The 15,987-nt window shown below is 36.8% G+C and overlaps 1 long non-coding RNA gene across 1 annotated transcript in view; it reads left to right on the top strand.

The window, feature by feature from the left end:
- The window catches only part of LOC105371677 (uncharacterized), a 67,447-nt gene that overhangs the window by 37,853 nt on the left and 13,607 nt on the right, over nucleotides 1-15,987 (top strand). The gene's annotated exons all lie outside the window — the stretch shown is intronic.

Genomic DNA, 15,987 nt, shown 5'->3' with positions numbered 1-15,987 from the left:
AACCATGCCCATCTTCTTTACAGTTTTATTCTCTGCAACTACCACAATCTCTAATACATAAAAGTTCCTCTTTCTATTGCGCAAAGGAATGGTCAAGAAACAATTGCCCTTTATCTGCTTTGTACAGGGCCCATGTTTGATTCTAGGAAAGCAAAGTATATAAGAAAGAGAGCTTAGTGTCTAGGGTGGATCCAGCAGTAAAAGCAATCACTAAGTAGTACATATAGAAAGTATAGCCCTAGAGATATTCCCAGTGTGACAGAACAGATAAGGAGCATTTAAACTATCCTGGTCAGGAGGTAGGTGGGAGACAAGTGTCTATGTCCACTATTTAAAAATACGTGCTAGTAGACTTTAGATGTCACTTACACTTACCCAAAATACAGCTAAGATGTAGCTACATGAACTGGTGAAAAAATGCAGCTTTCTTATCCTTTAAAATCCCATGAATATAGCTTTCTTGCCTTCTGAAATTTCCTGAGAAGGACAGTATAATATTTATCTGTAATATAAGTAGTGTTTTGTGGAAGGATGATGGACACAGAATGTCTATCATTTTTCATCTTCCCTTTTCATTTATCCTTTTAATAAATATTTTTGAGCTTATATGCCAGGTAAGCATGTGAAGAACTGAGCCAGGTGCTGCTCGGGGCACTGGTGATAACTTCATCCCTGAGCTCCTGAAGCTTATGTTCTAGTTGAGGGAAGCTGAACAAATGTATGTAATTTCAGCTAGTGATAAGAACTACGAAGGCTAGGAAATAGAAAAGTATAGGTAAGAGGTTGGAAGGTGCTACTTTAGCTAGAGCAATAAGGAAAGAAGCCTCCAAAGAGGGGAGTCTGGATCTACAGCCTAAGTGGTGGAATGATTCAGCAGGTGAAAACCTGGGTAAGAGGAAGTGCAAAGTTCCTCAGTCAGGAACAAGAGTGCTATGATTAAGTGATAGAAATAGGATGTGTATGGCTGTAACAGAGAGAGACAGGGACAGCGGTGGGTAGGTAGGGGGTGGGAGAGAGAATGGTGAAAAAGTGGGCAAAGACTAGATCTATTTTTTAATCCCAAATTCAGCAATGTATTACAACCATCTTATATGTCAGCACTCTGATCCCGAGCATCTGGGCTAGTATTTAATAAATATTTGATGAATGATGTCTAGATAAATAAATCAATGAATAGATGAGTGAGTAAGCAGGTGAATGGGTGAATAAATGAAAGACATATACTGAGTAGCCATGTACTTGCTTCATTCCACAGCTGAAACTTATCTGGCCATATGCCCAGCCAGCTTCCTTAGGGTACCCACTTACTACCTATCCAAAAATTGTTTCTGTCACTAAGGAGGACAGAAGCCAAGTGAAACATGGCAAGGCACTTAGACAAACAAGCATCTCTTTACCTTGCTCCTACCAAAGTGCTCTCCCTGTTTGCTTTACAACACCAAGGTTTTGTCACAAAAAGAAGGAATGTGAACATTATGTAAAAATAAAAATTTGCAATAATTTAATCCCTTCTATTTGTATAATTATTTATAATTTACCAAGTATTTTACTTATATGTCTTTAGATGACACAGATAACCCTGATATATAGTAATTTTTATGCTATCTTACAGGTGGAGAAACACTTCCTTACAGAGATCACATGCAAAGAAGCTTAACTACAGCCCAGTTGTCTGGATTCCACTTTTGGTATTCTTCTTAGTATGGGGCATTCCACGGGACAGGTGCCACTTTGCTTAGGGAGGTACTTATGAGCACCTTCCATCAGGGGGAATAATTGCTTCACTACAAGAGCTACTCTTTCTACAAGAGTCCAAGTTAATCAAAGTAGTGGCAATAAAACTCAACATTCCTACCTTGGAATAGTTTTTCTTGCTTTTAACCTCCCTCCTTCAGAGAAGAGATGGTTATTGGCTAATATACTTTGTATGCACCCATTTCAGCAGGTTACTGTCTTAAATGCAATGAATACAATGAAAGGAAAAGAAAATTGGCTGCTGGGAACACATTGAGGCTGTTGTCTTAATTTGCATGTATGTTTATAAAAAGTATTGAACTGTATTATGAAAAAAACTACACATGATAGTGAGTTAAGATGTTGGAAAAGCTTCAGAGACCAAAAAAGAAAAGCTAAAGGTATTTAATTTGGTCATATCAACATGACTGTGTCATTTATATCAGGCACTTACCCATAGGCCCTATAGAAACAAGCATGAGTATTATTAAAAGCATTCATAGACCTCCAGTAAACTTTATTTGGTTTTAACTCTAAACCCTAAGTATGTTTTTTTCATAGTTGATTCTTCTTCTAATAACATTCATTAACCAGAATTTATGGTATTTATTTTGGCTAATATTTACTGAGCTCTTGCCATATGACAGGCACTGTGTAAACACTTTAATTGATATCTAATTTAATCTTCACCACGATCTTTGAAGTAGAAATCATTGATATTCTTATTTTGTAGATTAGGGAATCAAGGCACAAAAAGGTTAATCAACTCACCCAGGTTACACTACATGAAACAGGGATAGCGAGGACCAGTACTCAAGCAATCGCCAGATCACAACTTTAAATCTTTCATGATCACTCTAACTTCAGCCCTGAATGTGCAGAGATAAGAACAGTTAGCGAGTGAACTTACAGATTATACTTATAAAATGATTATTTTTAGGTTCATGGTCCTTCCATACAGGTTATACTGTAGTATGGAATACTATGCTGCCATAAAAAAGAATAAGATCATGTCTTTTGCAGGGACATGAATGGAGCTGGAGGCCATTATTCTTAGCAAACTAATGTCAGAACAGAAAGCCAAATACTGCATGTTCTCACTTATAGGTGGGAGCTAAATGATAAGAATACATAGGCACATAGAGGGGAACAACACACACTGGAGCCTATCCGAGAGTGGAGGGTGGGAGAAGGAAAAGAATCAAGAAAAATAACTAATGGGAACTAGGCTTAATACCTGAGTGATTAAATAATCTGGACAACAACCCCACATGACACAAGTTTACCTATGTAACAAACCTGTACATGTACCCCCAAAGTTAAAATAAAAGTTATCAAAAAAGTGACCTAATGATATCTTATTTTCAAAATACCCACTCTCTGTTCTACATTCAATTCACAAGGTATTTTAGAGACTAGACTATTGTCCTCTTACATAGAGCTAATAATTCACTAAAGTTTCCTTGAATCTGTTTACTTGGCTTGAGTTCTTTTTTAAAATTTAATTTTGTAAAAAATTTCTGTGCATACATAGTAGTCATACATATTTAAGGGGTAACTGACATATTTTGATACAGGAATACAATGCATAATAATCACATCAGGGTAAATGGAGTATCCATCATCTCAAGCATTTATCCTTTCTCTTTGTTACAAACATTCCAATTATGCTCTATATTTTAAAATGCACGTTGGTTTACTGTTGACTGTAGTCACCCTGTTGTGTTATCAAATACTAAAGTTTATTCATCCTATTTAACTATATTTTTGTACCTGTTAATCACCCCCACTTCCCACCCCCAACCACTACCCTTCCCAGCCTCTGATCACCTTCTTTCTACTCTCTATATGCATGAGTTCAATTATTTTAAAATTTACTCCCATAAATGACTGAGAACATGCAAAATTTGTCTTTCTGTGCCTAGCTTATTTCACTTAACATAATGTCCTCCAGTTCCAACCATGTTGTTGCAAATGACAGGATCTCATTCTTTTTATGGCTGAATAAGTACTCCCTTGTGTATATGTACCACATTTTCTTTATCCACTTTATCCACGTTTCTGTCAATGAACATGTAGGTTGCTTCCAAATCTTGGCTAGTGCGAATGGTGCTGCAATAAACATGGGAGTGCAGATATCTCTTCCACATACTGATTTATTTCCTTTGGATAAATATCCAGTAGTGGAATTGCTAGAACATGTAATAGTTCTATCTTCAGATTTTTGAAGAAACTCCATACAGTTCTCCATAGTGGTTGTACTAATTTACATTCCACCAACAATGTATGAGGGTTCCCTTTTCTCCACGTCAGCCCCATTATTCATTATTGCTTATCCTTTTGATAAAAGCCATTTTTACTGGGATGAAATGATATCTCATTGTACTTTTGATTTTCATTTCTCTGATGATCAGTAATGTTGAGCTCTTTTCCATATGCCTGTTTTCTGTTTGAATGTTTTCTTTTGAGATGTGTTTATTATGATTTTTTGCCCATTATTTAATAAGATTATTTGATTTTTTTCCTGTAGACTTGTTTGAGCTCCTTGTATATTCCAGGTAAGAATCCCTTGTCAGGATGGAGGAATATTTACCAAGCAAATGGAAAGCAAAAAAAAGCAAGAGTTGCAATCCTAATCTCTGAAAAAACAAACTTTAAACTAACAAAGATCAAAAGAGACAAAGAAGGGCATTACATAATGGTAAAGGGATCAATGCAACAAGAAGAGCTAACTATCCTAAATAAATATGCACCCAACACAGGAGCACCCAGATTCATAAAGCAAGTTCTTAGAAACCTACAAAGAGACTTAGACTCCCATACAATAATAGTGGGAGACTTTAACACCCCATTGTCAATATTAGACAGATCAATCAGACAGAAAATTAACAAGGATATTCAGGACGTGAACTCAGTTCTGGACCAAGCAGACCTAATAGACATCTACAGAATTCTCCACCCCAAATGAACAGAATATACATTCTTCTCAGCACCAAATCACACTTATTCTAAAATTGACCACATAATTGAAGGTAAAACACTCCTCAGAAAATGCAAAAAAAAATAAAAATAAAAAAAAAAACAAAAAAAAACACAGAAATTATAACAAACAGTCTCTCAGACCACAGTGTAATCAAACTAGAACTCAGGATTAAGAAACTCACTCAAAACTGCACAACTACATGGAAACTGAACAACCTGCTCCTGAATGACCACTGGGTAAATAATGAAATGAAGGCAGAAATAAAGATGTTCTTTGAAACTAATGAGAACAAAGACACAACATACCAGAATCTCTGGGACACATTTAAAGCAGGTGTGTAGATGGAAATTTATAGCACTGAATGCCCACAAGAGAAAGCAGGGAAGATCTGAAATTGACACCCTAACATCACAATTAAAAGAACTAGAGAAGCAACGGCAAACAAATTCAAAAGCCAGCAGAAGACAAGAAATAAATAAGAACAGAGCAGAACTAAAGGAGACAAAGACACTTAAAACCCTTCAAAAAAAATCAATGAATCCAGGAACTGGCTTTTTGAAAAGATCAACAAAATAGACCTCTAGCCAGACTAATAAAGAAGAAAAGAGAGAAGAATCAAATAGATGCAACAAAAAATGCTAAAGGGGTTATCACCACCGATCTCGCAGAAATACAAACTACCATCAGAGAATACTATAAACACCTAAATCTACAATAAATGGATAAATTCCTGGACATATACACCCTCCCAAGACTAAACTAGAAAGAAGTCAAATCCCTGAATAGACCAATAACAAGTTCTGAATTGGCAGCAATTAATAGCTTACCAACCAAAAAAATCCAGGACCAGATGGATTCACAGCCAAATTCTACCAGAGGTACAAAGAGGAGCTGGTACCATTCCTTCTGAAACTATTCCAATCAAAAGAAAAGGAGGGAATCCTCCCTAACTCATTTCATGAGGCCAGCATCATCCTAATACCAAAACCTGGCAGGACACAACAAAAAAAGAAAATTTCAGGCCAATATCCCTGAAGAACACTGATGCAAAAATCCTTAATAAAATACAGGCAAATTGAATCCCAGCAGCACATCAAAAAGCTTATCCACCACGATCAAGTCAGCTTCATCCCTGGCATGCAAGGCTGCTTCAACAAACACAAACCAATAAACGTAAACATTATATAAACAAAACCAATGACAAAAACCACATAATTATCTCAAGAGAGGCAGAAAACCTTTCAACAAAATTCAACAACCCTTCATGCTAAAAACTCTCAATAAACTAGGTATCAATGGAACATATCTCAAAATAATAAGAGCTATTTATGACAAACCCACAGTCAATATCATACTGAATGGGCAAAAACCGGAAGCATTCCCTTTATAAACCAGCACAAGACAAGAATGCCCTCTCTCACCACTCCTGTTCAATATAGTATTGGAAGTTCTGTCCAGGACAATCAGGCAAAAGGAAGAAATGAAGGGTATTCAAATAGGGAGAGAGGAAGGCAAATTGTCTCTGTTTGCAGATGACATGATTGTATCTTTAGAAAACCCCATCATCTCAGCCCAACATCTCCTTAAGCTGATAACCAACTTCAGCAAAGTCTCAGGATATAAAATCAGTGTGCAAAAATCACAAGCATTCCTATACACCAATAACAGACAAACAGAGAGCCAAATCATGAGTGAACTCCCATTCACAATTGCTACTAAGAGAATAAAATACCTAGGAATACAACTTACAAGGGATGTGAAGGAACTCTTCAAGGAGAACTACAAACCACTGCTCAAGGAAATAAGATAGGATACAAACAAATAGAAAAACAACCCATGTTCATGGATAGGAAGAATCAATATTGTGAAAATGGCCATACTGCCCAAAGTAATTTATAGATTCAATGCTATCCCCATCAAGCTACCATTGACTTTCTTCACAGAATTGGAAAAAACTACTTTAAACTTTGTATGTAACCAAAAAAGAGCCCACATAGTCAAGACAATCCTAAGCAAAAAGAACAAAGCTGGTGGCATCACACTACCTGACTTCAAACTATACTACAAGGCTACAGTAACCAAAACAGCATGGTACTGGTAACAAAACAGAGATACAGACCAATGGAACAGAATAGAGGCCTCAGAAATAACACCACACATCTACAACCATCTGATCTTTGACAAACCTGACACAAGCAGGCAATGGGGAAAACATTCCCTATTTAATAAATAGTGTTAGGAAAACTGGCTAGCCATATGCAGAAAACTGAAACTGGACCCCTTCCTTACACCTTATACAAAAAATCAACTTAAGATGGATTAAAGACTTAAACCTAAGACCTAAAACCATAAAAATCCTAGAAGAAAAACCTAGGCAGTACCATTCAGGACATAGGCATGGGCGAAGACTTCATGTCTAAAACACCAAAAGCAATGGCAACAAAAGCCAAAATTGACAAATGGGATCTAATTAAACTAAAGAGCTTCTGCACAGCAAAAGAAACTACCATCAGAGTGAACAGACAACCTACAGAATGGGAGAAAATTTTTGCAATCTATCCATCTGACAAAGGGCTAATATCCAGAGTCTACAAAGAACTTAAACAAATTTACAAGAAAAAAACAACCCCATCAAAAAGTGGGCAAAGGTTATGAACAGACACTTCTCAAAAGAAGACATTTATGCAGCCAACAGACACATGAACAAATGCTCATCATCACTTGTCATTAGAGAAATGCAAATCAAAACCACAGTGATATACCATCTCACACCAGTTAGAATGCCGATCATTAAAAAGTCAGGAAACAATGACTTTTTTCCTGGAGAGGATGTGGAGAAATAGGAACACTTTTACACTGTTGGTGGGAGTGTAAATTAGTTCAACCATTGTGGAAGACAGTGTGGTGATTCCTCAATTATCTAGAGGTAGAAATACCACTTGACACAGCAATCCCATTACTGGGTATATACCCAAAGGATTATGAATCATTCTAGTATGAAGACACATGCACACTGCACACGTATGTTTATTGCGGCACTATTCACAATAGCAAAGACTTAAAACCAACACAAATGTCCACCAATAATAGACTGGAAGAAAATGTGGCACATATACACCATGGAATACTACACAGCCATAAGAAAGGATGAGTTCTTGTCCTTTGCAGGGACATGGATAAAGCTGGAAACCATCATTCTCAGCAAACTATCACAAGAACAGAAAACCAAACACCGCATGTTCTCATTCATAAATGGGAGTTGAACAATGAGAACACATGGACACAGGAGGGGAACATCACACACTGGGGCCTGTCAGGAGGTGGGGGGCCAGGGGAGGAATAGCATTAGGAGAAAAACCTAATGTAGGTAACGGGTTGATGGGTGTAGCAAACCACCATGGCACGTGTATACCTATGTAACAAAACTGCACATTCTGCACATGTACCCCAGAACTTAAAGTGTAATAGTAAGTAAAAGAATTCCTTGTCAGATGGATAGACTGTAAATATTTTCTCCCATTCTGTGGGTTGTTTCTTCACTTAGTTGATCGTTTCCTTCGCAGTGCAAAAGCTTTTTAACTTGATGTGATCCCATTTGTGAATTCTGGCTTTGATAACCTATTCTTGTGGAGTATTACTCAAGAAACCTTTGCCCAGACCAGTATCCTGGAGAGATTCCTCAATGTTTTCTAAAATTTAAATATTGTGGAGGTCTTAGATTTACTCTTAGTTTGAGGTCTTAGTTTAAGGTCTTAGATTTAAGTCTTTATTTCCTTTTGATTTTATTTTGTTGGCACTCCATTGTATGTTATTTGTTTCTTTTCTATTGCTACTGTTGGGATACTTTCTTTATCCTTGACGTTTGGGAGTTTGATTATTAAATGTCTTGAGGTACAGTCTTATTTAGGTTAAATATGTTTGATGTTCTATAAACCTTGTATTTGAATATTGATATATTTCTCTAGGTTTGGGAAGTTCTCTGTTATTATCCTTTCGAATAAACTTTCTACCCCAATCTATCTCTCCACTTCCTCTTTATGGCCAATAACTGTTAGATTTGCCCTTTTGAGGCTATTTTCTACATCTTGTAGGCAGCCTTCATTCTTTTTTATTCCTTTTTCTTTTTGTCACTTCTGACTGTGCATTTTCAAATAGCCTACCTTCAAGCTCACTAATTCTTTCTTTTTCTTGGCCAATTCTGCTGTTAAGCAATTCTGATGTGTTATTCAGTATGTCAGTTGCATTTTTCAACTTCAGAATTTCTGCCTGATTCTTTTTAATTAGTTCAATTTCTTTGTTAAATTTCTCTGGTAAGATTCTGAATTCTTTGTCTGTTATCTTAAGATTCATTGAATTTCCTCAAAACAACTATTTTAAATTATCTGTCTGAAAGGTCACATATCCTTGTCTCTCCAGGATTGGTCAATGGTGCCTTATTTAGTTCATTTGGTGAGGTCATGTTTTCCTGGATAGTCTTGATATTTGTGGGTGTTTGTCAATGTCTGGGCATTGAAGGGTTAGGTATTTATTTTTGTCTTTGCAATCTGGGCTCGTTTGTACCCATCTTTTTTGGGAAGACTTTCTAGGTATTAGAAGGGACTCGAGTGTTGTGATCTAAGTTTTTGGTCTCTGCAGCCATATCTGCATTAGGGGGCATCCCAAACCCAGAAACACTGTGGCTCTTGAAGACTTGTTGAAGTACTGCCTTGGTTGTCTTGGCTAAGATCTGGGAGAATTACCTGGAATACCAGGCAGAGACTCTTGTTCTCTTCCCTTACTTTCTCCCACCAAACATCAGTTCCCTCTGTGTGCTGAGCTGCCTGGAGCTGGGGGATGGCTCACCAAGCACCCCTGTGGCCATCGCCACTGAAACTGCACTGGGCAGGCCAGAAGTCAGCAAAGTACTGGATCTCATCCAAGGTCCATAGCAACTACTGACTGGCTACTGCTCACATTTGCTTAAAGCCCTAGGGCTCTACAATCAGCAGGCAGTGAAGCCAGCCAGGCTTGTGTTCTTCCCTTTAGGGTGACAAGTTCCTCCTGGTTCCAGGCAGGTCCATAGATGCTGTACAGCAGCCAGGGTCTGGAGTCAGAAACTTTAGAAATCTACCTGGTGCTCTATTCTACTGAGGCTGAGTTGGCACCGAAGCCACAGGAAAAAGTCGGTTGCAACCTTCTTTTCCCTTTTCACAAGCAGAGGTATCTCTTTCTGTGGCCACCCCTGCCCCAAGCCCATGGTGAGTACTGCCTGGAAACCATCGATGTTCATTCAAGGTCCAAGGGTTCTTCAGTCAGCTTGTTGTGAATGCTGCCAGACATGGGACTCACTTTTCCGAGCAGTGGTTCTCCTCTGGCCCAGGACAGGTCCAGAAATGCCATCCAAGAGCCAAGGCCTAGAATCAGGGACCTGAAGAGCCTGCCATGCACTCTACCCCACTGTAGCCAAGCTAGTACCTGAGTTGATTCTTGGTTCTTATGAAGGTGCTTTTTTGTGTGGATAGTTGTTCAGCTTGGTAGTCCTGTGGGGAAGACAATTGGTGCAGGCTTCTAGTCAGCCATCTTGCACTGCCTCCTCCTGTTTATATCACTTAATTCAGCTGTTTTAAAAACAGTGGCTCTTTCTGCAGCTGCTTTCAGGTGGGCTAAAAACAATCGAATTTTATTTTTTTAATTGACAAGTAATAATTGTAGATAGTCCTAAGATATTTTGTGATGTTTTGAACTATATGATGTATAATAATCAGATTAAGGTAATTAGCACATTTCAGCTCTTATTTTACCCATGATAAATTCTTCATTTACAAGGATGAATATTCCACAAATTCTCTTATCAGAGAGTTGGCCTACAACATAAGGTTATTTTTGTTTTTGTAAGAAAGAATGACCACCATCATAATTGACAAACCATACTCTTGTTTATTTTCTCCTCTCTCACCAATAATTGAGTTTCAGTAATAAATAATAAATGTGATTTATATAACTAATTTGTACAGAGCATCAACAAAATATCTTAAAGATCAGGCACATTTATAAAAGAAACTAGCACTTACTTGGAACTTTTTCTCTACCTGTCACCAGTCTAAGAACTTTACATAACGCACTTTCCAATTTCATTTTGAAACTAGCCTGTCAGGTAGATATTATTATTCCCATTCTGCAGAAAAGAAAACTGGAATGTTCTCACAGTAAGAAAAAAAAATATCATTCAAACTCATGTCTTTCTAACACTGAAACTTATATTCATTCCTCTTCACTGGAAGGCTAAACATCTGTAGAAGAAATAATGAGAAGATGACTCTGAATGATATTTGTATGATGAAGGAAAGAAGTGTTTCCACAATAAGTAAAAATACTGGATATTATGAGGGAATGTGAGAGAATAAAGTATAAAATTGATGTCAGAAGAGTACTGGAGATCATCCAAATTATAGTAATTTTCATTATTTTGTAACAAATGGAAGATGAAGAGAACCTGAGGCAAGGCAGTGCAAATATAGGGAAGAGAGAAGGAGAAAGAGTCAGGAGATGTGCATGGCATAGATCAATGTAGAGACAACTGCGTTAAAAAGTGCCACATACGGAGCAACCAATAAGCACTGGTTAACTTGCTTTCCCACTCGGAGTGCAACAGTTTTTACTGAAATTATCGGTTGGATCCTGATATTGAGTTCAGGGCACTTTCTAAAAAGTGTACCTGGGCATTAGTTTTTGTTGTTTGCTAAATTTGGAAATTTTAAAGCAGTTTTGTATAGAGCAACTTAATTCACACAACAGAATGCTTATTAACGGTAAGCCTAAATATATGTTCATATGCTATCGGTTCATATGCAGCAGTCAGTTTGGTCTTCTATAACAAATTATCATAGACTGGTTGGCTTAAACAGCAAACATTTATTTCTCACAGTTTTGGAGGCTAGAAAATCCAAGATCAAGGTACCTGCAAACCAAGTGTGTGGTGAGGGCTCTTCCTGGCTCACAAATGGCCACCTTCTTGTTGTATTCTTACATGGCAGAGAGAGAGAGAGAGATCTATGCCTCTTTTTTTTTTGTTTGTTTCATCTAATTTTTTTATCATTTTCAAATTGACACATGATAATTGTATATGGGATACAATGTTATCTTTTGATCCATGTATACATTGTAGAAAGATTAAATCAAGCCAGTTTATCCCTTACATTGTGGTGAGAATGTTTAAAATCTATTTATAATCAATTAAAAAATATACAATACCTTATTATTAAGTATAGTCACTATATAGTACAATAGATCACAAAAATGTATTCCTTCATTCTAACTGAACTGAAACTTTGTAGTCTTTAACCAATATGTCCTTTTTTCCCATCCCACTCTTCTCTGCTCTCCCCACTTAATTAGCCTCTAGCAACCAACTTTCTACTCTGTTTCTGAGACTGATTTTTTTAGATTCCACGTATAAGTGAGATCATGCAGTATTTGTCTTTTTTGTGCCTGGCTTATCTCACTTAGCATAATGTCGTTGAGAGCATTAACCTCATCATGACGGTCCCACCCTCATGGCCTAATCCAACTCTAAGCCCTCACCTCCAAACACCATCACATTGGTAGACAGGATTTCAACATATGAACTCTGGGGAGACACAAACATTAAGTCCATAACACATGCCAACCAAATAATAGTTGTATTTTAACTGTCTAGGTATAAACTGTATTGTAGTACTATTCTTAGATGTCAGTTCTTACTCAATGACATGAAAACCTTAGCCAGATACATCTAAAAAAATGTTTTGGTCTTGGTTGTCTAGCTCCTCTTTTGTAGCTTATTTGTTTGTGTGTGTGCACATGTGCGTGTATCCATACATGAGTTCTGCTATGTATTTTATGCTAGACAACGTCCTGTGGTGGTTGTTCTCAACTGGGTATCTATGCCTACCTGAACTGAATGTGTTAATTACAGAGTGCTGTCAATTCTTCAGTCTGCAATTATCAACGTTCTTCAACTATGATATTTCCATAGCTTTAGCAACATAGATCTGTGCAAATATGGTACCTGAGAAGATGGAACATCCTTCCAAACATGCACTGGGAATCACCTCATCACACATGACTATTTTGAGCAGGATTTTATATGCTGCCATGAATTTTGATAGGAGAAAAACTTCTGTTCTCTTAAATCTCTATTTAAAAAAGAGAGAGGGAGGCAAGAAGAAAAAAAAGCAAGCCTGCAATTATCTACTTTTTTATACAATCAAATGTTTCCTACACTTACAGCAGCTATAGTTAAAGAAGTCCATGTACTAATTAATTTGAATTTGCTGTTTCATCATTGCATGCCAATTTATAGACAATACAAGCACACACAAAATTAAGTTCCTTGAACATAGTTAGACTTAAACCAATGTTAATTTTTATTTCCTTTCAAAGTCATTATCTGCTTTTAGATTGGACTTTCATTTTGTAACAAAGAGAATAATTTTTTAAAATTATATTTTTTAAAAATAGAGAAAGTTGGCTGTTTTTGATGGCCCACAGAAAAACTAAAATATAATTAAGGGAGAACAGATACATAGGTATGAAACTTGGTTGGGTACTTTCACTGATACTTGCACAAATTACATATTTACCTATGTTATGCCACTTCTAGAAGATGCTTGTTTAATATATAACATTATCTTTTACTGTTTTCACCTTAATTTAATTTCAAAAAATCTTTTTATAAATGGCTAGTATGTTTTGTAAATTCATGCATTCAACAAATGACCATCCACAGATACTGCATGCAAGGCTCTGTGCTGTCCTCTAGATGATGCAGAGATGGTTGATTTCTGGAATCTACCCACAGATGCCAGATTTACAAGAGGATAATAAAGTTTAAACATGTTCAATACCAAAGATGGTTTTTGGTAATACCCTGCAAAAGTTTAGACAAGACAGAAGGCTGATATTTTCAGGAAAGCAAAAAATAAATAAATAAATAAAATAAAATAAAATTTAAAATAATTCATGCTTTTGTTCCAGAAACATCAAAAAACAGATTTCTTTATTAGCTCATTCTGAGTTGCAAATTTTTTCTGGATGATTTTTTTGTGGTTGCAGCTCACTTGGCATCAGCTCCCTTTTTCTGCCAGCACAGCCAAGGTATTCCACGCGTTCACTGTAAATGGAAGTTTATACTGTGCTGGTGGACTGAGATTCCAGGAAGGAGGGCCTCCATGACATGGACAGACCTAGCTTTGTGGCACAAAGCACAACAGCTAAGTCAAATGAAAGCTTACAGTGGATGATAAAAAATAAATTCAGTCAAACAAATATGTTCTCCTAACTGCTGTAGCAAACTTCTTTCTTTCTCCTGGCTGCCAGCTCTTTTCAAAGATGATTCCCAAAGGCTTTTTTCCTTTGTTTAGGTTTCGTATGGGGTAAATTAATTCATGATTTGTTGTTAAAAAACAGTAAAAACAAAGTAAAACACACACACACACACACAAACACACAAACACCTCTTTCCCTAGTCTTCCTCAAAATACCCACAGGAACCCACCCAATAGAATGGCCTGAAACAAAATACTTTTGTTCAAAGCCAGCAAGTCTGGCAAAGCTGCAAGCTCTGCCCATAGCTACCTGTATCATGGGTAGCTGCAGAGAAATATGCAAACTGGCAAACTGGGTACCTTTTACTGTTTTACAACAATATGTTTTATTGTTCTCTCGCTAAGTTCTTTGCCAAGGGCAAAGAGTACTGAAGTAGCTAGCAACAGCCCAGACACAGCTGTCAGCATGAGCCTTACCACTTCTGGCATTGCTTTTTTAGCCAAGAGGCACTGCAATTGCTTACCAATAAGTTGTGATGAGTTGATAATGCAAGTAGACTAGATCATAAATATTTTAGTATTTAAGCATGCTTTTTCATTTACGGTGACTTAGTGCTGCAATGGCAAAGGACTTTCCCCTAGGATAGGCAATTAGGGATAGGTGGAAATGCATATTAGAACATTTATGATAATGAGAAAACTACTTTTAATTGAGTACATTAAGGCTGATCTACAATGATTAAAGCAAAACTCTATTCAAAATGAAGCTTTATTATCACATTTTAAAACCTATACTATGAAACAATTTTTAACTGAAAAATATTTATAAAATACAACTTTGCATCTCTAGTAACATCAAAACCAAAGTGAATTATCTGAAATGAACAAGAATGGGTAGGAAAAAGAAATTGATTACATATGACTAGCAGCAATTGATATAAAGCTACTCAATACGTTAATGGATCTCTGTACTGAATTTTCATCCACTCTTTAGGAATTCTCATTTAGTGTTTGATACTTCTGAATATTGTATTTAAGGATATTTCATTAAGGCTGGATTGTTTACAACAGTCGTAATTATTGTCCCATTCTCTAGATAACTCTGACACCATGGGTGATGACGCTCTGTATGAAACTTTGCATAAGGCTTTCCCTGCTTGCCTCTCTTGCAGGCAGTGTGAGTGACCCTCTCTCCCTATGTATGCATTTAATTCTTCCTCCCCTTACACTCACTTCCTAACCCTACTCCTCTTCTTACTGTTTCAGATCTAAGCTCTCAAAAACCCCTAAGGAAAAAAAAAGGCAAAGGCACATGTAGCTTTGTCAGTGCATTGGAGGGTATGAGACAGGGTTTGAATGCTAATTCGGCTACCCACTCTAAAATGAGGCTAATGATACTGCACAGTGTGGTTGGGAGATGAAATAACACATGCAAGGGCTTTTAAAATTTTAATGTGCAGAGAAATAGAAAACATTATTCTATTTCAATTCTGAAGAAAAATATGTAAATATGTCACATTTTGTCCCTTGATCAGCAATGGTTCCAAATCAAGAGTGTCTTAACTATGCCTGTTTCCCTCATAAATTTTACATAAAGTTCTGAAAATATTGCCACCATTTTATAAAGGAATGGACGGCAATCAAGGCAGAAACTGTTTGGAAAATAGAGGTTTGTTTGTTTACTTGAGGTGGAAACAATTCTCTCATCTATGTGTTGTTTATTCTCTTCAGTGAACATTTTCCTCTTTGTATCTCGGTTCTAAAGCCTCTCTGAGAACGTATATTTCAAAAGCACATGAAATAAAATCACATCGATCCTCTGTTTTACTTCATCTTGTTTGGGTGGGAGGAGATTTAATTTATATATGGTTGTGATTTTCATCATCTATCTTATGAAGCACCGTTTGGTTTTATTTGTGGGTTAGTTTCATCCTTAATACTCTTAAAAATAAAAGGGATATATGTTTTTGGTTATGTTTTGGGGGT

The sequence above is a fragment of the Homo sapiens genome, chromosome 1 (assembly GCF_000001405.40).
Source record: "Homo sapiens chromosome 1, GRCh38.p14 Primary Assembly".
NCBI lineage: Eukaryota > Metazoa > Chordata > Mammalia > Primates > Hominidae > Homo > Homo sapiens.
Note: the sequence above shows the minus strand (reverse complement) of the source record. Positions and strands in the feature narration are given on the sequence as shown.